The sequence below is a fragment of the Homo sapiens genome, chromosome X (assembly GCF_000001405.40).
Source record: "Homo sapiens chromosome X, GRCh38.p14 Primary Assembly".
Taxonomy (NCBI): domain Eukaryota; kingdom Metazoa; phylum Chordata; class Mammalia; order Primates; family Hominidae; genus Homo; species Homo sapiens.
The window spans coordinates 135,724,237-135,747,382 of NC_000023.11; the positions used below are offsets into that span (position 1 = coordinate 135,724,237).

General features: G+C 42.0%; 1 pseudogene, besides 1 other annotated feature; it reads right to left on the reverse strand.

Moving 5' to 3' along the window:
• MGAT2P1 (MGAT2 pseudogene 1) lies at positions 6,297-6,894 on the reverse strand (annotated as a pseudogene).
• Positions 16,637-16,756: an enhancer, noted in NCBI's record as "active region_29986". NCBI's record gives its function as "activates an Ori minimal core promoter by ATAC-STARR-seq in GM12878 lymphoblastoid cells {active_cell/tissue: GM12878}" and the evidence as "EXISTENCE:reporter gene assay evidence [ECO:0000049][PMID:35858748]".

Sequence of the window (23,146 nt, forward strand, 5' to 3'; positions counted from 1 at the left end):
CCCAAGTAGCTGGGATTACAGGTGCACCACAGGTGCCATCACGCTGCTAATTTTTGCATTTTTAGTGGAGATGGGGTTTTGCCATGTTGTCCAGGCTGGTCTCGAAACCTGGCCTCAAGTGATCTGCCCATCTCAGCCTCCCAAGGTGCTAGGATTACAGGCATGAGCCACTGCACCCAGCCCATTCTATGCTTTTTTTAAAATTAATTCATTCATTGATTCAACAAATATTAATTGTTCCAGGTACTTTTCTTTTTTTATTATTATACTTTAAGTTTTAGGGTACATGTGCACAACGTGCAGGTTTGTTACATATGTATACATGTGCCAAGTTGGTGTGCTTCACCCATAAACTCGTCATTTAACATTAGGTATATCTCCTAATGCTATCCCTCCCCCCTCCCCACACCCCACAACAGGCCCCGGTGTGTGATGTTCCCCTTCCTGTGTCCATGTGGTCTCATTGTTCAATTCCCACCTACGAGTGAGAACATGCGGTGTTTGGTTTTTGTCCTTGGGATAGTTTGCTGAGAATGATGGTTTCCAGCTTCATCCATGTCCCTACAAAGGACATGAACTCATCATTTTTCATGGCTGCATAGTATTCCATGGTGTATATGTGCCACATTTTCTTAATCCAGTATATCACTGATGGACATTTGGGTTGGTTGCAAGTCTTTGCTATTGTGAATAGTGCCGCAATAAATATACGTGTGCATGTGTCTTTATAGCAGCATGATTTATAATCCTTTGGGTATATACCCAGTAATGGGATGGCTTGGTCAAATGGTATTTCTAGTTCTAGATCCCTGAGGAATTGCCACACTGACTTCCACAATGGTTGAACTAGTTTACAGTCCCACCAACAGTGTAAAAGTGTTCCTATTTGTCCACATCCTCTCCAGCACCTGTTGTTTCCTGATTTTTAAATGATTGCCATTTTAATTGGTGTGAGATGGTATCTCATTGTGGTTTTGATTTGCATTTATCTGATGGCCAGTGATGATGAGTATTTTTTCATGTGTCTGTTGGCTGCATAAATGTCTTCTTTTGAGAAGTATCTGTTCATATCCTTCGCCCGCTTGTTGATGGGGTTGTGTGTTTTTTTCTTGTAAATTTGTTTGAGTTCATTGTAGATTCTGGATATTAGCCCTTTTTCAGATGAGTAGATTGCACAAATTTTCTGCCATTCTGTAGGTTGCCTGTTCACTCTGATGGTAGTTTCTTTTGCCGTGCAGAAGCTCTTTAGTTTAATTAGATCCCATTTGTCAATTTTGGCTTTTGTTGCCATTGCTTTTGGTGTTTTAGACATGAAGTCCTTGCCCATGCCTATGTCCTGAATGGTATTGCCTAGGTTTTCTCCTAGGGTTTTTATGGTTTTAGGTCTAACATGTAAGTCTTTAATCCATCTTGAATTAATTTTTGTATAAAGTATAAGGAAGGGATCCCATTTCAGCTTTCTCCATATGGCTAGCCAGTTTTCCCAGCACCATTTATTGAATAGGGAATCCTTTCCCCATTTCTTGTTTTTGTCAGGTTTGTCAAAGATCAGATAGTTGTAGATATGCGGCATTATTTCTGAGGGCTCTGTTCTGTTCTGTTCCATTGGTCTGTATCTCTGTTTTGGTAACAGTACCATGCTGTTTTGGTTACTGTAGCCTTGTAGTATAGTTTGAAGTCAGGTAGCATGATGTCTCCAGCTTTGTTCTTTTGGCTTAGGATTGACTTGGCGATGCGGGCTCTTTTTTGGTTCCATATGAACTTTAAAGTAGTTTTTTCCAATTCTGTGAAGAAAGTCATTGGTAGCTTGATGGGGATGGCATTGAATCTATAAATTACCCTGGGCAATATGGCCATTTTCACGATATTGATTCTTCCTACCCATGAGCATGGAATGTTCTTCCATTTGTTTGTATCCTCTTTTATTTCATTGAGCAGTGGTTTGTAGTTCTCCTTGAAGAGGTCCTTCACAATCCCTTGTAAGTTGGATTCCTAGGTATTTTATTCTCTTTGAAGCAATTGTGAATGGGAGTTCACTCATGATTTGGCTCTCTGTTTGTCTGTTATTAGTGTATAAGAATGCTTGTGATTTTTTGCACATTGATTTTGTCTCCTGAGACTTTGCTGAAGTTGCTTATCGGCTTAAGGAGATTTTGGGCTGAGACAATGGGGTTTTCTATATATACAATCATGTCATCTGCAAACAGGGACAGTTTGACTTCCTCTTTTCCTAATTGAATGCCCTTTATTTCTTTCTCCTGCCTGACTGCCCTGGCCACAGCTTCCAACACTATGTTGAATAGGAGTGGTGAGAGAGGGCATCCCTGTCTTGTGCCAGTTTTCAAAGGGAATGCTTCCAGTTTTTGTCCATTCAGTATGATATTGGCTGTGGGTTCGTCATAAATAGCTCTTATTACTTTGAGATACGTCCCATCAACACCTAATTTATTGAGAGTTTTTAGCATGAAGGTTGTTGAATTTTGTCAAAGGTCTTTTCTGCATCTATTGAGATAATCATGTGGTTTTTGTCTTTGGTTCTGTTTATATGCTGGATTACATTTATTGGTTTGCGAATGTTGAACCAGCCTTGCATCCCGGGGATGAAGCCCACTTGATCATGGTCGATAAGCTTTTTGATGTGCTGCTGGATTCGGTTTGCCAGTATTTTATTGAGGATTTTTGCATCAATGTTCATCAAGGATATTGGTCTAAAATTCTCTTTTTTGGTTGTGTCTCTGCCAGGCTTTGGTATCAGGATGATGCTGGCCTCATAAAATGATTTAGGGAGGATTCCCTCTTTTTCTATTGATTGGAATAGTTTCAGAAGGAATGGTACCAGCTCCTCCTTGTACCTCTGGTAGAATTCGGCTGAGAATCCATCTGGTCCTGGACTTTTTTTGGTTGGTAAGCTATTAATTATTACCTCAATTTCAGAGCCTGTTATTGGTCTATTCAGAGATTCAACTTCTTCCTGGTTTAGTCTTGGGAGGGTATATGTGTCGAGGAATTCATCCATTTCTTCTAGATTTTCTAGTTTATTTGCGTAGAGGTGTTTATAGTACTCTTTGATGGTAGTTTGTATTTCTGTGGGATCGGTGGTGATATCCCCTTTACCATTTTTCATTGCGTCTATTTGATTCTTCTCTCTTTTCTTCTTTATTAGTCTTGCTAGCGGTCTATCAATTTTGTTGATCTTTTCAAAAAACCAGCTCCTGGATTCATTGATTTTTTTGAAGGGTTTTTTGTGTCTCTATTTCCTTCAGTTCTGCTCTGATCTTAGTTATTTCTTGCCTTCTGCTAGCTTTTGAATGTGTTTGCTCTTCCTTCTCTAGTTCTTTTAATTGTGATGTTAGGGTGTCAATTTTAGCTCTTTCGTGCTTTCTCTTGTGGGCATTTAGTGCTATAAATTTCCCTCTACACACTGCTTTGAATGTGTCCCAGAGATTCTGGTATGCATGGTACTGTTACCAAAACAGAGATATAGACCAATGGAACAGAATAGAGCCCTCAGAAACAATGCCACATATCTACAACTATCTGATCTTTGACAAACCTGACAAAAACAAGAAATGGGGAAAGGATTCCCTATTTAATAAATGGTGCTGGGAAAACTGGCTAGCCACATGTAGAAAGCTGAAACTGGATCCCTTCCGTACACCTTATACAAAAATTTATTCAAGATGGATTAAAGACTTAAATGTTAGACCTAAAACAGTAAAAACCGTAGATGAAAACCTAGGCAATACCATTCAAGACATAGTAGGCATGGGCAAGGACTTCATGACTAAAACACCAAAAGCAATGGCAACAAAAGCCAGAATTGACAAGTGGGGTCTAATAAAACTAAGGGGTTCTGCACAGCAAAAGAAACTACCACCAGAGTGAACAGGCAACCTACAGAATGGGAGAAAAAATGCTCCTCATCACTGGTCATCAGAGAAATGCAAATCAAAACCACAGTGAGATGCCATCTCACACCAGTTAGAATGGTGATCATTAAAAAGTCAGGAAACAACAGGTGTTGGAGAGGATGTGGACAAATAGGAACACTTTTACACTGTTGGTGGGACTGTAAATTAGATCAACCATTGTGGAAGACAGTGTGGCCATTCCTCAAGGATCTAGAACTGGAAATACCATTTGACCCAGCCAGCCGATTACTGGGTATATACCCAAAGAATTATAAATCATGCTGCTATAAAGACACATGCACATGTATGTTTATTGCGGCACTATTCACAATAGGAAAGACTTGGAACCAACCCAAATGTCCATCAATGATAGACTGGATTAAGAAAATGTGGCACATATACACCATGGAATACTATGCAGCCATAAAAAAGGATGAGTTCATGTCCTCTGTAGGGACATGGATGAAGCTGGAAACCATCATTCTGAGCAAACTATCACAAGGACAGATAACCAAACACCGCATGTTCTCACTCATAGGCGAGAAGGATAGCGTTAGGAGATATACCTAACGTAAATGATGAGTTAACGGGTACAGCACACCAACATGGCACATGCATACATATGTAACAATCCTGCACGCTGTGCACATGTTCCCTAGAACTTAAAGTATAATGAAAATAAATGAATAAATAGAAGTTAGACCTGCCAATAACCCAAATGAGCTTGAAAATAATTTCTCTCTGAGTCCTCAGTTAGTCAGCAGCCTGGTTGATAACTTACCTTTGATTTGTGAGATCCTAAGCAGAGATACCAATCTAGGCTGCATGGATTTCTGATCTACAGAACTGCTTATATATTTGTGTTGTTTTAAGCTGCTAAATTGGGGATAATTTCTTTTGCAGTAGTAACAAACTTAATAGACGTGGTGCCGGCATATTCTGAAATAACAAATGAAAATCAGGCATGATGTTTTTTATTTTCTCATCAACTGGTCGCAGGGAACTCCCCATGAGACCGCAGGTGCAGGACTAAGGAAGCTTCTCTTTTTCTGGGCCCCAATCCATGCTAGCAGGGTTTCAGGCACCTGTCAGTGGGTCACAGTACTGCACAACATTGAGGTATATACTAAGACAACATCTATTATGGAACTCGTTTCTGTGTTCCTTATTTAGTAGTAAAAAAGGCAAGATGTAAGAACATGCTGTTCACCTTATAACCACCATCTTGACATGCCAGACTACTAAGTTGTTAGACGTTTCCCTCAGGTAGAAGACCCCTGACGTTGTTTGGGAATTATTTCTCACATAATGTCTTGTAAGTGTGTCGCTAATGTGTCTGGATTAGTTGCTACCTCCTGCGCAGTCAGCATAATGTCATCAGTGCAAAGAATGGTGTTACATCTGGTTTAAGAGAAAGGTGGTCATGGTCCCTAAGGACTCATTTAGGATATAAACCTTGAGAGTTGATATAAGGTTGAAAGAGGAGATGATAGTACATTGCTGTCCTTTCTAGCTGGACCCAAACTCTTCTTTATGACAACTACTGAAAGAAAACAAAACATTCACCTAATCACGATTATATATCAGGTTCCCAGGGATGTCACAGTTGCCGATGCAACAAAACCACCTGCAGTACAGCAGCTGCAGTTGGAACAACAATTTGATTAAGTTTATGGTCCGATCTCGGCTCACGGCCACCTCCACCTCCCGGGTTCAAGCAATTCTCTTGCCTCAGCCTCCTGTGTAGCTGGACTATAGGCACACACTATCACACCTGGCTAGTTGTTTGCATTTCTTAGTAGAGACAGGGTTTCACCATGTTGGCTAGGCTAGTCTCAAACTCCTGACCTCGAGTGATCTGCCCACCTCAGACTCCCAAAGTGCTGGGATTACAAGCGCGAGCCACCGCGCCAGGCCCCGGCTATTTTTTGTATTTTTGGTGGAGCTGTGGTTTCGCCATGTTGGCCAGCCTTATCTGGAACTCCTGACCTCAAGCGATCCACCCACTTCTGCCTCCCAAATCCTGGGATTACAGGCGTGAGCCACTGTGTCCAGCGAAAACTTCACTTTTAAGTGAAACGCAGAAACAAAATCAGATAATCAGAAAATGAGATACTGCGTGTTCTCATTCATATGTGGGAGCTAAACAATGGGTACACATGAACATAAAGGTAGAAACCATTGACTCTGAGGACTCCAAAAGGGAAGTGGAGGGGAGGGAGGGAGCGGGTTGGAGGGTTGAAAAACTACCTATTGGATACTCTCTTCACTATTTGGGAGATGGGTTCACTAGAAGCCCAAACCCCGGAATTATGCAATTATATCCAAGTGAGAAACTTGTACATGTACCCGTCTTGCATCTATAATTTTAAAAAGGTTAAAAAAGAAAGCTTCAGTTTTAAATCTTAACCAGATATACATGAAAAGGATTACTATACTTGGACACCTTTACAGGTTTCTATGTTAGTTTTTGGTGTTAAAGCAGAAAACTGTTCCTCGACCACTTTATTAATTGTATATCCTCTTTGTACAAACATCCAAAATAGAAGACTGTCACTTTTGGTTCTGTAACTGTGATTCTTTACTGCAGTCTTCTACAGCTTTTACAGAATTAATGGTCCCTAGTATCTGCCATTCTCCAATTGCCCTGGGTGGCGAAATGGCTGCCGTAGTAAACTTTTCACTGATAATTAGAGGTTTTGGAAACATGCAGGGCTTGTTATTTAAGAGTGACTCCATTTGGGCATTCCGGTGGATGGCCTACAGGTTTTCTTGCAGAGTATACTAGAGTCTCCAGAATGAATAACCCTAGGAACTTGAGGAACTAGTGCTTTCCAGAATTTTGGAAGCCAAGATACAAATATTGAAGAGTCCAGTCCCAGTTATAATCACCATCAGAAGAGAAAATGTCTGTGCATTCAATCAGTGTCTAATTGCCATCCCAGGTGAAGGCTAGACCCATATCATGCTCTGTGGATTTCCAGGGTCTTTTTTCATTTTTCATTTTTGTCAGTACCTAGTGGGTGTATATATTTATGGATTACATGAGATATTTTGATAAGGCATACAATGTATAATAATCACATCAGGGTAAATAGTCTCCATCACCGCAACCATTTATCCTTCCTTTGTGTTACAAACAATCCAATTATACTCTTTTAGTGATTTTAAAATTTATAATAAATTATTGACTCTAGTCACCCTGTTGTGCTATCAAATGCTACATCTTACTCATTCTACCTAACTATATTTTTGTACCCACGAGCCATCCCCGCTTCCCCCGACACCCCCACTACTCTTCCCTGCCTCTGGTAACCATCCTTCTACTCTCTATCTCCATGAGTTCGGTGGTTTTAATTTTTAGCTCCCACAAAGGAGTGAGAACATGTGAAGTTTGTCTTTCTTTGCCTGGCTTATTTCACTTAACATAATGACCTCCAGTTCCACCCATGTTGTTGAAAATGATGAGATCTCATTCTTTTTTATGGCTGAATAGTACTTCACTGTGTATATGTACCACATTTTCTTTATCCATTCATCTGCTGGAGGACACTTAGGTTGCTTCCAAATCTTAGCTATTGTGAATGGTGCTGCAACAAACATGGGAGTGCAGATACCTCTTCCATATACTAGTTTCCTTTCTTTTCCAAGTTTTTATATGCACTTCATCAGCAGTGCTGTAGAAACTGCAGCTGGCAATGTAAGTCCCTGGAAAGAGAACATCACACCCAGGGCACTCTTGCCACTCTGATAGCTACATCTTTTTGAAGACATGGTAAAAGTCTGGGGTAAAGTAGTGGTTGTTCTCTAGCAAAAATCGAACACCAGCCTACCCCTGAAGTATTTTGAACCTTTCGCATACAAAATGCAAATTACAATACCAAAGTCATTTGATGTGGCCAAATGGGTGGGGATTCTTGGGATTAAGCACCCCATCTTCAAAGCTGCATTCTTCTTCAGGTACCTGAGGCAATGTCTGGGGTTATTACGGGGAAACTCATTGGGGTACCAACAAATGCTGAAAGGAGAGAACATTGGTAGAACCGGACAGCCTCACAGTGGTGGCCTTGGACTGTAGCAGTTGGAGCTGGCTCTGGCAGCTGCCCTCATCTTGGGTCCTGGGGTGCCTGCCCATAGGCTCTCAGCTGCCCTGCACTGCCGGGGCTCCGCATCCTCGCCTGGCAGCTGCAGCTCATCAGACTAGGAGCTGCCAGGGCTCAGTGTCACCTCGGTCCTCCCAGTTCAGCATCCAGGTCTGTCCTGGGAGAAGCCCTGCCTGAGCCCCACCCCAGCCCTCTTTGTTCCCTGTGCTGCCAGCGGACTTGCCTCCTGGGCACACTCATCCATCAGTGGCCAGGGGCCTGCAGGACCCAGCCAAGCAGCCTCTGCCCACTCCAGCAGTGACTGGCTGGGGTGGGCTTTTGCAGATGGCATAAACTCCATATCTCAGTTATCCCTGAGGTGTCCCTGTGGATGGGCCTGCCACACTCAATTGAGTCCTTTAAAAGCAGACAGAGATGGGCGTGGTGTTTCACGCCTGTAATCCCAGTGCTTTGGGAGGGTGAGGTGGGCAGACCACTTGAGTCCAGGAGTTCGAGACCAGCCTGGCCAGCATAGTGAAACCCCTGTCTCCAAACACAATTGTTTTTTTAAATTAGGTGGGCGTGGTGGTGCGTGCCTATAGTCCCAGCTACTTGGGAGGCTGAGGCGAGAGGATCATTTGAACCCAGCAATTTGAGGCTGCAGTGAGCCATGATCACATCACTGCACTCCAGCCTGGGAGACAGAGCGAGACCCTGTCTAACAAACAAACAAACAAATGAACAACACCACTGATGCCCCCCCACCCACCCCAATAAAAACACATAAAAGTCGACAGATTTCTTCACCAGAGAGCAGAAACAGAAGTACAAGATAGTCAAAGGACAAGAGGGATTTGATTGGGCTTTACTGTTTTGAAGATGTAGGAGTACACAACGAAGCTATGCTGGAGGGCCTAGGAGCTGAGAGTAGTCCCTGGCTGTCACCCAGTAAAGAAACCAGGACCTCATTTCTACAACCTTAAACACAGGAATAGATCATCAATGTCCTCAGACATTAAGGAAATGGAAATCAAATCCACAAGGAGATACTACCTCACCTCACTGGGATGAATATTAACAAGTAATTAACAAGTGTTATAGAGGAGAAATTGGAACCCTCCACCATTGCTGCTGGGAATGTAAAATGATGCAGCATCTTTGAAAAATAGTCTGGCATTTCTTCACAGAATTGATAATAAAGTTATTGAACAACCTGCAAATTCCACTTCTAGCTAAATATCCAAGAGAAATACAAGCATATATCCACAGCAAAACTTGCACACAAATATTTGAAGCCAGATCCAATATTATATTTTGTACACCTTCATACCCCAGCCTTAAGAACTACTCTCACACATTTACCAGAGACTACTATATTGGAAAAATCATACAGTTGTTTCGGTGACTATCACACCTCTTGACAGGGCTCAGTGTTTAACTCACTGTTTTGGCCAGCAGGAACTTGAATTTAAGTGCAGGTTAAGAAGCAATGAGGGGTGCTGGTGTTAGTTTCAGAGGAGGAGCAGCGGTGCCCTTCAAGGCAACGATCTCAGGTGAGACCCTCACAGCTCTTCGGGTAAAGGGGAACCTCGGGCAGGAGGAGTGGGAGGGCTGCTTCTATTGACAAAGACACCCGGAGAATTTAGGGATTTGCAATGGACCGAATGTTTGTGTCCCCCGCCACATTCATTTATTGAAATCCTAACTCCTATTGTGATGTTATTAGGAGGTGGAGCCATTGGAAGGTCATGAAAGTGGAGCCCTAATAAATGGGAATATTGTCCATATAAAAGGGACCCCAGAGAGCTCTCTGTGCCCTGGCAACATGGAAGAGGGCCCTCACCAGAACCTGACCATGCTGGCACCTTGATCTCAGACTTACAGCCTCTAGAAATGTGAGAAATACAATTTCTGTTGTTTGTAAGCTACCTAGTATATGGTATTTTATTATAGCAGCCCTAACTGACTAAAACACAGTTCTAAGTGCCCAGATTCATTGGCATAAACCTATACGTTTCCATTCCAGTTTTCAGTATCTGATTTCTCCCTATTAGTGCCCTAACATTAGCAGAAGAGACCCTTTTGAGGTTGTGAATTCAATTTGTGCTGTAATTCAGCCACTGACAGGAGTAGACTTTGGATTTCATTTTCCCAAATCTTGGCCTGGTTGCTATAGGAGATGACAGTTTCTTTCAGGCCAGTCATAGATGTTATCAGGTCCTTCCTTCACACCTTGAGCAAGAACTTTAACGACTTCTTTCTTCATGTTCTACAGTACATTAGAAACAACAAATCAACCACTCAATACTCCTTATTTTGACCAAACCATTCTAAGATATCAAAGCACAAGAAAGCCAACCAGGTCAGGGCCGGTGGCTCATGCCTGTAATTCCAGCACTTTGGGAGGCTGAGGCAGGAGTATTGCTGGAGCCCAGGAGTTAGAGACCAGACAAAAAATTTACAGTTAGTCACCCAGGGACTTGTCTTTTATAGGCACTTCATTATAGGACTCTAAAGGTGTAAATGTGAGTAATTCTTTTGCTATTTCTTACTGTGCACTACCAGTGCTCATTTTACTACTGCAAACTGTTGGGGTGACCAGACCCAGCACCAGGTCGTGGGAGCGACAAAGTCCAGCGGGGTCAAAGGATTGTGAAAAAGACAGTTTGAGAAGGAAAGTGGGACCCGGGGCCATCATGATTGTGGAGGCTGTGAAGGCCCTGAGCTCTGGGAGCCCATGCTATTTATTGGTAATCCAACAAAGAGACAGGTGGTGAGAATGTAAGGGTCAAAAGGGCAGGTGCATGATCTACAGCTGTGACGGTTTAGCATTTATATGGAACATGTTCTGCTACTTGAGATAATGGGAATAGAGTTGATCTAGGAGCCTAGGAGGGCTAGAAGCAAGGAGCCAGCAAGTCTGGACACATTCCAGAGGACATTATGTCAGACATGCAAGCCCTGCCTCAGTTTTTTTTTCCCAACACTCAGCATTTTCCAAAGAAAAACAGGTTCATTAAAGCCTCCAAATTTAATCACAATTAAGAAATATTCCAGAAAACCCAGAATGAATTCAAGGAAGGTGTCATTAAGACTTTCTTTGGAAGCACTCTCAATGTTGAAATCTGTATCAGTCAGCCTTCAACGAAAAGGCAGAACTAATGGGAGATTTTAATGTGTGTATACACACACACACACATTAAAATCTCCCATTTATATACACACTTTAAAATACACACACACACACACACACACACACACTTTAAAATCTCCCATTATACATGTAATACACATTATACCTGTGTGTGTGTGTGTGTGTGTGTGTGTGTGTGTGTGTGTTGGTAGGGGGTATATATACATACACACACACACTTTATAATTTCCCATTATACATATAATACACATTATACACATTACACATATTATATATACACCCCCATATATATATATGTATGTGTGTGGGGGGGGTATATCCAATATATATAATAAAGGTAGTTCCTAGATAGGATTGGTCTGATAAAATAATTTGGAGCTGCAGTAGCAGTGCCTGTAAGGCTGTTGTCTCCAGATATGACTTGCACATTCTACGCTTTTTTATTTTATTTTTTTAAGACAGAATCTTGCCCTGTTGCCCAGGCTAGAGTGCAGTGGCATCATCACAAGTCACTGCAACCTCCACCTTACCCTGGTTCAAGCGATCCTTGTGCCTCAGCCTCCCAAGTATCTGGGATTACAGGTGCACCACAGGTGCCATCATGCTGCTAGTTTTTGTATTTTTAGTGGAGATGGGGTTTTGTCATGTTGGCCAGGATGGTCTTGAAACCTGGCTTCAGGTGATCTGCCCGTCTCAGCCTCCCAAAGTGCTGGGATTACAGGCATGAGCCACTGCACCCGGCCCATTCTATGATTTTAAAGCACAAAAAGAGCAAAATATTGTGTGGTTTTACCTTTAATATTTTACAAAGGTTTACATTTATAAGTAATGTTTTGTTTCTTATTAATTTGCAAATATTTTGTGTACAAAATGATTTCAACTTTTCATATATACAAAGAAAACATTTTGTTAATTTTCACAAATCCATTAATGCTGGAGAAATTTCTAGTTGTCTTTTCTTTCTTTCTTTCTTTCTTTCTTCCTACCTTTCATTCTTCCGTTCATTCTTTAATTCTTTCTATCTTTCCTTCTTTTCTTTCTTTTCCTTTCTTTCTTTCCAACAGAGTTTTGCCCTGTTGCCTAGGCTGGAGTGCAGTGTCAGAATCTTGCCTCACTGCAGCCTTGGCCTCCCAGGCTCAGGCGATCCTCCCACCTCAGCCTCCCGAGTAGCTGGGACTACTGGTGCACACCACCATGTCTGGCTAATTTTTGGATTATTATTATATTTTTTGTAGAGCTGGGGTCTCGCCATGTTGCCCAGTATGGTCTCTAACTCCTGGGCTCAACCAATCCCCCTGCCTCAGCCTCCCAAAGGGCTGGGATTACAGGCATGAGTCACCACACCCAGCCTAGTTGCCTTTCTTGTGCTTTGTTATTCCTTCATGGAAAAGTAAATTGTACTATTTTCTTTCAGAATATTCAGGTAAGAACATCACAATTTAGACTTCAAAACTACACTCACTGTCAACAGTGGTATTTGTTCATGCTTGATTATGAAATATTGACCTTAGCAGCAAGGAAATTTTTAAAAATGGATTTCAGGACAGGCCGTGTGTACTAGTTATCAGCATAGAGTAAAACTTTGCAACTCTATAAGCAGGTGATACAATGAGGCTTAATAAAGGCAGTGGATAGATGCACAAATTGAATGATGATTTGTTAAAAAGAATTGGTCTTACACAATTGTGAAAGGTGGTAACGCAGTCTCTATAAGGCTTTTATTGTCTCTACTGAGGATGGCGATGTAACAAATAGGCTGAAACCTACAAAGAGGATCTGGAACATTATGAGGGCAGATGGAGGTACATGTTCATTTTTGTTGCCTCTGATCTTAGTGATGAGGGCGTCCTGCAGTAGCCAGGAAAGGCTCTTTCAGAACCTAGCAGAGCTAAACATATACACCTGGCCCAGAAGATAGAGAAGGTGAAAGAGCATCCAGGGGAAGGAAGAGAAATTGCAGGTCTGGCTGCAGCTTCATACCAATAAGGTGAATCCAGAGAGCAGCAACAACGTGTGTAGCTACAAATGGCTGCTGCCTCCTATCCACTGCCCTGCACAATTTTTCAAAGAACCTCCACGGGGAACACCAGATACTTCCCAGAAAGAGAACTGTGGCTAATATAATTCGGCCTAGCCAAGCTGACAAATTGCATGTTATACCCTTGTCACTTGAAAATACAAACTCTTCTCCAAAAGAGGGCACTAAAGCCCCACATTTTTCTTAAATCTTGTTCAATCTGCTGCTACCTAATTCACACTGTGCCTTTAATATCCTGCATCTTAAATTCTGAAAAATAAAGTTAACTTAATAACACATCTTGTGGTAGATCAGGGGATGTCAGGAGGTCAAAACCAAAAATATTTAGTTTATATATATATTATAAAACATATATGTGACACATATAATATTAATATATATGCAAATGAATTCATATCAAAATAAGGAAGTGATACTCTTTATTCTGAAACAAACACAGAAACAAGGACTTATGTTAGTGTTTGTATCTGCCTATGGTCATGTAGTCACTTTTCCCACTACCCATTTTATACTCCCTTTATCCTCATCAAGCACCTTCCCTGGTGACAGACCTTTTCAGAGTGGGGTGACTCAAACCTCCAATCTTGAGGTTCACGGCCATAAGCAGTCCTGATTGAATTAGGCTGTTGTAGTTTTCATTGACTTTCATCACTGGACACAGGAGTACTAAGAGGTGCTCTATAGGCTCTCCTGAATTTTAGACATATCTCTCCTTAACCCCATGATGACTGAAAGGTTGTGCCTCAATCAACTTGCAGACTTGACTAGTTTATAGACCTAAAACCTCATGAATTAAGACAAGGCCTCTTGAGGAGGGACCTTTCTAAAATGAAAAAGTTTATACCACCACTCTTTCTCCCATTCTTACTCAAAGAAGGCCTGTAGCCCTTCACTAAGGTGAAAGTACATGCGGAAGAGAAATTATTAGATTTCTCAATGACTACAGGACCCCAGTTCTGAATTGACACGAATTTCTTGAAGACACAAACATCATGCTGATTCTTTCGAAAAATATGTGATTTATTACTGAGCCTTGGGTGACATTCAATGCTTGACCATGGACGCCAAATTATAATGCTACTTAGACATGCCTGTCTTATCCTAGGTGCTTTCTGACCCACCAAGTTACAGCAATGGGTATGCATAGAAGCACACCATTATTAAATGGAAGTGGTATGTACAAGATCAAGCATGTCCTGAAGGCGAAAGTAAGTTCCATGATGAAGTGGCCAAAATACACATGGATCCTATTCCTGCCACACAACTTTCTCCATCTACGATTGGCAGGATACTAAAATGGTCCCCATGAATTTCACCCCCTGATTAAGTTATCTAGCATGACAAAAGCGATTTTGCAGATGTAAGTAAGGTTACTAACCTGTTAACCTAAATATAGAGGAATTCCTCAGGTGGGCCTAACCCACACACATGAGCCTTTAAAAGCAGAGTCTTTTCTCCAGCTGGTACCACAAGAGGATGAGACAGTTATGAAGAATGAGAAGAATTTGACATGCTGATGCTGGCTTGAAGATAGGGAAGGGACCTCGTGAAAAGATCTGGTAAGCCGCTTTATGAGTTGAGAGTGAGTCCCAGTTCACAGCCAGCCAGAATCAAGGATTTCAGTTCTGCATGGCAAGGAATTGGATTCTGCCATATATCCGGATGAATTTGGAATTGCATTCCACCCCAAACTTTTTAGATGAGAACACCGCTTGCATACAATTTTGATTTTGGCCTTTTGAGACTCCAAGTAGGGAACCAAGTCAAGACCTCCCAGATTTCTGAACTGCAGAACTGTGAGATAATAAATAATAATTCGGTGATGCTTTTAGCCATTTAATTTGGAGTTGTTTGTTACACGGCAATAAAACTAATATATTCTCTCAATCTGGACCTATATCCCTAAGGGGAGTACACTATAACCAGTTGAATGAAGAAGCAGTACCTCAGGGCTAGCTTACCAATAGAGGTGAATGATATGCAGGCACCACTTATATTAGTTTTCATACAGGAAAAAAGAAAGAGAATATAAATTCCAATCTCATTTGTTGGATTTATATTTAAGTTAAAATGTAACATATAGGAGAAGACTACTGGAATCACGGAGGAAAGACCAGTGAAAATCCATGCTTTTATTTTTAAAAAGTGGCAAATATTGTCAACATAGAAATTATTGGAATTCTGGGAATTCAACAGTCCGAAGAATATTTATTCAAGAAAAATGGCTAAATCACACTACAAACCATAAGCTTTGTGGTGATTTAACCTGTTCCACTCCCCCACTCCCCTCCTCTGCTCCATGTTAGCCTTTAAACTTACACCCTCACAACTCTGGTAGCTCTGAATATCAGCAAATTATCAGCCACTGCATGGAGCTACTGGTTGGAGCTCCCCTAAAATCTCTATTTCCAGACAATCACCACTATTAATACTAGTACTATTATTATGTTTGAGACAGGGTCTCACTCTATCTCCTATACTGGATGGCAGTGGAGCACTTATGGTTCACTGCAGCCTCGACCTCCTGGGTTCAAGCAATCCTCCTGCCTCAGCCTCCCAAGTAGCTGGAACTATAGGCATGAACCACCTAATCACCACTATTAAGCATGTCACCAAAACTCCCTGAGAAGCACCATTCTCAGAGCTTGTGTTTAATTAAACTGTCTGATAGCTGGCTTTGTGTGAATACCCCACCCGCTATATTCAGGTGTAAGCTAGGAATTCCTGTAGGGCTGTGTTGCACAGAAGTGATGGCAGTGGGCAATTCTGTCCTGTTTTGGTTTTACAAGGAATGCATCTCATATTTCTCCCCTAGGAATAATGTGTGCAGTGGATTTCTGATAGACCCACAGCTAGTATCATACTGAATGATAGAGACCTTTCTTAAATGCTTTTACATTTTTTCTCATGAATAGGTTATTGCATTTTTAACATGATTTATGCTTTAAATGCGATGATAACATACTTCTTTTTTGTGCATTAATATAGTGTGCCATCCATGAACTTACTGGCGGTCAGGTACAAATTCACCCCATTCTTTTTGAGACAGGGTTTGGCTCTGTTGCCCAAGGTGGAGTGCAGTGGCACGATCTCGGCTGATGGCAACTTCTGCCTCCCAGGTTCAAGTGATCCTCCCACGTCAACTTTCTGAGTAGTTGGGGCCACAGGTGCGCGCCACCACGCCCAGCTAATTTTTGTGTTTTTCTTTTTGGTTGGTTGGCTGTTTTGTACAGCCATGGTTTGGCTATGTTACCCAGGCGATTTCATCCCGCTGTGTGGGAAAGTTCTGCGTTCCTCTCCCTACCTAGCTGTGCAGTTGTTACTGAAGGCCGACTGTAGAGGGCGCCAGAGTCAGAGAATGGGAGGGCTGTGCTTCCTGGTTCTTCTGGCTTGCGCCCGAAGTCCTACAAAGCGTGAGGGCTTCACCTCGGGACTCTGGCGACCCCAACAGGTTCCCAGTGTTCGGCTGGGGCAGGACAAGTGGTGGTGGGCAGCTTCCCTTCCATCCCTCTTGGGCTGTATGGGATTTGTGCTTCTGGTGAGATGCGTCCCATGCACATCATTCGCAGGTGCCCTAGGGGGCAGATTTCCCACAACTCTCAGAGGGCAGGTTTCTAGAAAGTTCAGCCAGTGGTGCAATTTTCGCTGCCATTTTGTGAGGTGCCGCCGCCGCTCCTCCGGCAAGGTCAGGACTTCAGAACTGTGAGTGGGGCGGTTTTTCTCTGGATGTTTTAATTTCGCCCTGGAAAGTGTCTTTTCTGGGCTGCACTGCATCGGGTGTCGGATGTGTGATACGGCAGCCTGCGTGATGTGGTTCCGCTCTGGAGGCACCACCGTGGGTGCCTGTGTTAGCCGTGGGAGAGCGTTTTCCTTGGGCACCTTGTCTCGGCTATGTTGTGGGGCCAGGGGGCTTTTCTTGGGGGCTCCCTCTCGATGATGTGAGGGACTTTTCCTGCTGAAATGACCTGAGCCCGGGGGTGGGGACCCTGCCTTGGTTCCCTTTGTCAGACTCGGGTTAGGGGATGTTTCTTCCCCATTCAGTCACAGCCCTGAGTGGGGACTCTGCCTTGGGCACTCTGTCTGTGCTCAGGAGCTGGGGTGGGGGTGACTGTTCTCTGGATGCATGATCGTCGCCCTGTGGGGTTACTCTCCATCGGGGGCTTTATCTCAGCCCGCGAGGGACTCTTCCTTGGGTGCTGATGTCGGCCGTGGGGCGCATTTGTCCTTGGATGTCGCTCGTTCTCAACTAGGATGTGTTCGCTTTTCTTTGGATCTGTTTATCCCTGATGGGGACGCTTACCAGATGCTTTCTCTTGGTGCTGGGTTTTAAAATAATATTATCTGTGGGTTCTCTCTCTCGGTGCCACGGGAGGGTGGAGTGCTGTTCTTTGGATTCTCTAAGCTTATGGTGGGACTCGGGGAGCTCTGTGTCAGCCATGAGGGAGGGCACCTGACCTTGGGAGTTCTGTCTCGCCCTAGGGTGGAGTGCTTTTCCTCGGTTGGTTGATCTCAGTCCTGAAGGAGCTCTTCTTTGGGGTTCTGTCTGACCTTTGGGCCATAGCCCTGGGTGTCTGTGTGGAAACCGGGGTCCAGAAATACTCGAAGGTTCCAGCTGTGCCACTTTCGCTCAATCGCTGTACAGTTACTCTTTCATTCCAGCCACTCTGATGGGTGTGCAGTGATCTCTCTTTATGTCTACACTTGCATTTCTCTGCCGATTAATGAGATTGAGCACTATTTTTTTTAAAATTGTTTTTATTTATTGATTTTTGTTTGTCTTCTGAGACAGGGTCTCACTCTGTTGCCCAGGCTGGAGTGCAGTGGCATGATCTCGGCTCACTGCAATCTCAACCTCCCGGGGCTCAATTGACTCTCTTCCCTCAGTCTGCCAAGTAGCTGGGACTACAAGCGCAGGCCACCAAGCCCGGCTAATCTTTGTATTTTTTGGTAGAGACGGGGTTTCACCACGTTGCCCAAGCTGTTCTCCAACTCCCGGGCTCAAGTGATCCACCCCCTTGGCCTCCCAAAGTGCTGGGATCACAGGCGTGAGCCACCGCGCCCACCTATTTATTGATTTTTTTTTTTGGAGTATCTTTTTATGTGTTTATTGGTCCTTTAACTACAGCTTTTCGGAAGTTCCTTTTCAGGTCTTTTCCCCCAAATTTTATTGAGATGTTTGTATTTTAAAAATGGATTTGTGGTTTACATATATTCTGGATTTCAGTTATACACAGGCATATATGTACATATAGACAAATATGTATACAATTTTAGTATCTTCTACAAATCTGTTTTGCTTTTACACTATCTTAATAATGTGTTTTAGATGAACAGATTCTCTTAATTTTATTCATCAGTGCTTATTTATGGCTATTCCTTTTTATTATTTTAAGAAACATCTTTGCCTCACCCAATGCCATGATGATAATATTCTAAGTATTCTTCTAGATCTCCCATTCATCTCAAATAAATTTTCATGGAATGGAGTACAGTCAGAGTCCAGGTATATTTGAGGTGTTTATTAGCTATTTGAGTATGACTCTTATGAAGTGCATATTCAGCTTTTCTCCCCAGATTTTATTGAGATGTTTGCTTTTTGAAAATTGATTTGAAGTTCTGGATATATTCTGGATTCCACTCAGTTGTTGTCAGATGTATATACAGATGTATATGTGTGTGTGTGTGTGTGATTAATATATATTTACATGTATAACCTATACATATATACTGTATGATATATAATCTACAAATATACTTCGTTTTTTCATTGTCTTAATAGTGTCTTTTGAGGAATAGAAGTTTTCCATTTAATTATGTGTAATTCAACAATTCATTCTATTATTTATTTATTTTTGAGACAGAGTTTTGCTCTTGTTGCCCAGGCTGGAGTGCAATGGCACGATCTCAGCTCACTGCAACCTCTGCCTCCCGTGTTCAAGTGATTCTCATGCCCCAGCCTCCCGATGAGCTGGGATTACAAGCACCCACCACCACGCCCAGCTAATTTTGTATTTTTAGTAGAGACGGGGTTTCTCCATGTTGGTCAGGCTGGTCTCAAGCTCCTGACCTCAGGTGATCTGCCCACCTCAGCCTCCCAAAGTGCTGGGATTACAGGTGTGAGCCACCGCGCCCGGCAAACAATTCATTCTTTATGGTTAATGCTTTTTTATCCTCGTTAAAAACATCTTTGCCTATTCTATAGTTGTGAAGATAATATCTTAAGTGTTTACTAGATTGTCTATCCATCTTCAATAAAGTTTTTGGAGTGGGATGAGGTAAGATTCAAGGTTTGTATTTTCCCTGCATTTATCACATTTATCAAGTGCATTTATTAAAAGCACTGTCCTTTCCACAATGATTTCCAGGAGCTCTCCTGTGGTAAATCTAGCTATTTTGTATTTCCACATTGTTTCTGGCCTCTGTGTCCTCTTCCATTTGTGTATTTGCCTGTCATTGCTCCAATATCACACTGTTTTAATTACTCTACCTTTATAGTAAATCTCATATTTAATAGTGTATATCTACCAACTTACTTCTATTTCTGTTCTTTTTTTTTTTTTTTTTTTTTTTACAGATGGAGTTTTGCTTTTGTTGCCCAGGATGGAGTGCGATGGCATGATCTCCACTCACTGCAAATTCGGCCTCCCAGGTTCAAGCGATTCTCCTGCCTCAGCCTCCCAAGTAGCTGGAATTACAGGTGCCTGCCACCATGCCCGGCTAATTTTTATATTTTTAATAGAGATGGGGTTTCACCATGTTGGCTAGGCTGGTCTCAAACTCCTGACCTCGTGATCTGCCCGCCTCGGCCTCCCAGAGTGTTGGGATTACAGGTGTTAGCCACCACGCCTGGCCACTTCTATTTCTTAAAGATTGCCTGGGGTTTTCCAAATCTTAAATGTCCATATACTTTTAAAAATAATTATCAGCTTGTCAATTTTTGGAAATTTTTTTTTACATGGTGGAATTTTAAATAAGATTGCTATGATCATTCTGGGAGAATTAAAAATAAAGCCTCTTAATAATGTCTTCCATTCCATGGAAATAATATTTTTTCTCCATTTACTGTAGTCTTGAATTTCTCTCAGTGATGTTTTATAATTTTTATGTAGTGCTGTAGCACATCATTGGATTTATTCCTAAATATTTTATGTTTTTGGTACTGTTATTAATGACATTTGAAATTTTATTTTTTTCAGTGTCACATCTACTCTTTTTTTTATTATTATACTTTAAGTTTTAGGGTACATGTGCACAATGTGCAGGTTTGTTACATATGTATACATGTGACATGTTGGTGTGCTGCACTAGAAATACCATTTGACCCAGCCATCCCATTACTGGGTATATACCCAAAGGATTATAAAACATGCTGCTATAAAGACACATGCACACGTATGTTTATTGCGGCACTATTCACAATAGCAAAGACTTGCAACCAACCCAAATGTCCAACAATGATAGACTGGATTAAGAAAATGTGGCACATATACACCATGGAATACTATGCAGCCATGAAAAATGATGAGTTCATGTCCTTTGTAGGGACATGGATGAAGCTGGAAACCATCATTCTCAGCAAACTATTGCAAGGACAAAAAACCAAACACCGCATGTTCTCACTCATAGGTGGGAATTGAACAATGAGAACACATGGACACAGGGTGGGGAACATCACACACCAGGGCCTGTTGTGGTGTGTGGGGAGCGGGGAGGGGTAGCATTAGGAGATATGCCTAATGCTAAATGACGAGTTAATGGGTGCAGCACACCAACATGGCACATGTATACATATGTAACAAACCTGCCCATTGTGCACATGTACCCTAAAACTTAAAGTATAATAATAATAAAAATAAATTAAATTAAATTAAAAAATTAAAAATAAAAAAATAAAAAAAACTTTTAAACAGCCAGTAAACATTGTTTCTGATTCAGCTTATGTAGTGCAAGCCAAACAAAATATTGATTGTGCCTTAATTCGAAATGTGACTGAACAACTTAATTTTTTATTTCATTCTTTACAGCAAGCAGTACAACAAAGGCATTCACCTTTCTATATCACTCATATGAGAGCACATACTAACCTCCCTGGCCCTTTAACTAAACTTAATCAAAGGGAGGATGCATTGGTGTCTGCAGCTTTTGCTGATGCACAAACATTTCATTCTTTAACCCATCTTAATGCTGCTGAAAAAGATATGGTCTATAATGGAAACAAGCTAAAGAAATTGTGCAACACTCTTCTGCCTGCCAAGTCCTGCATTTGTCACATCAAGGAACAGGAGTTAACCCTAGAGATTTATCTCCAAATTCCATTTGGCAGATGGATGTAGCACATATTCCTGCTTTTGGAAAATTGTCCTTTGCTCATTTTTCAGTACATATCTATTCGTATTTTATCTGGCCCACATGTCAAACAGGGGAGGCTACAGCTCATGTTAAAAGACATCTTTTATCTTGCTTTTCTGTTATGGGAATCCCAGAAAAAAATCACAGCTGATAACGGCCCCGGATACTGTAGCATTCTTTCAACAATGGAATATTGCCCATACTACAGGTATTCCATATAACTCACAAGGACAGGCAATAGTGGAAACAGCTAATCGTACTTTAAAAACTGAAATACAAAAGCAGAAGGCAGGAGACCAGGAATATAAAATACCACATATGCAATTGCATCTAGCTTTATTAACATTAATTTTTTTTTAATGTACAAAAAGATCAACCCATAACTGCAGCAGTACAACACCTGACAGGACAAAAGGAAAATAAAAAGGCTGGAGAAGATATATGGTGGAGGGATGCACATACAAAGAACTGGGAAAAAAGGAAAGATAATTATATGGGGAAGAGGATTTGCTTGTATCTCTCCAGGTGACAATCAGGTGCCTGTGTGGGTGCCCACCAAACATCTGAAGATCTATCATGAGCCACAGCATCTAGTGTACCCACCTGTACAGTGTGAATTGAAGGTTTGAAAAGCCTCGATTTGCTTTCCCTGTGCCTTCTGTTAGAAGGGGCCTGTTTCTCATTTTCAGTGGCCTCCCAGCTACAGCTACAAAGGTTTTTGCTTCTGTTTCAGTAGATTTACTAACATGGGGGTGAGGGTGTGCATGTGGATGCCCTCAAGATGTGTACAACCATGGAACAGGAGACTGGAGGGACCCATGGATCCCAACCATGGACCAGGTTCCCCCAGTACGAGCCATGAGCCAGTTGAATCTGAATGTGAAGATGGAACGAAGACTGACCAGAGTCACGATGCTTAATGGACCAGTGCTTTCTGACTCAGCTCCTCTCTACCCTGAATACAAGAGACCCTAACAGTTAGGCAGGAATATCATTGCCCCTATTCAGCATGAAAAAGTTACAGAAGACGGACCTTCATCCTTCTGCAACCCCTAGAATTAAGGGTCCTCTTGTAAAAGGGAAAGGGGAGATATGTGGGAAGCATTCAAATCAGAGTGACTCCAGTTTGCATAAGGGCTAAGAAAAATGAAGCTGGATCACCAACTGGCAATTAAGGGCTGCACAACCTGCAATTGACTTGCAGAATTAAAAGAGGCCACCTTTTATGCTAGTAATAATGATAGCTAGTAATAATGATAGTAATAATGATACCATTTCTTTTACAATAAAGAGAAGCGGGGTATATTGGGAAAAAGCTGAGTGTTGGGAAAAAAACTGAGGCAGGGCTTGCATGTCTGACATAATGTCCTCAGGAATGTGTCTATACTTGCTTGCTCCTAGCTTCTAGCCTTCCTAGGCTCCTAGATCAATTCTATTCCCATTATCTCAAGTAGCAGAACATGTTCCATATAAATGGTAAAGTGTCACAGCTGTAGATCATGCACCTGCCTTTTTGACCCCCACATTCTCACCACCTGTCTCTTTGTTGGATTACCAATAAATAGTGTGGGCTCCCAGAGCTCAGGGCCTTCGCAGCCTCCACAATCATGAT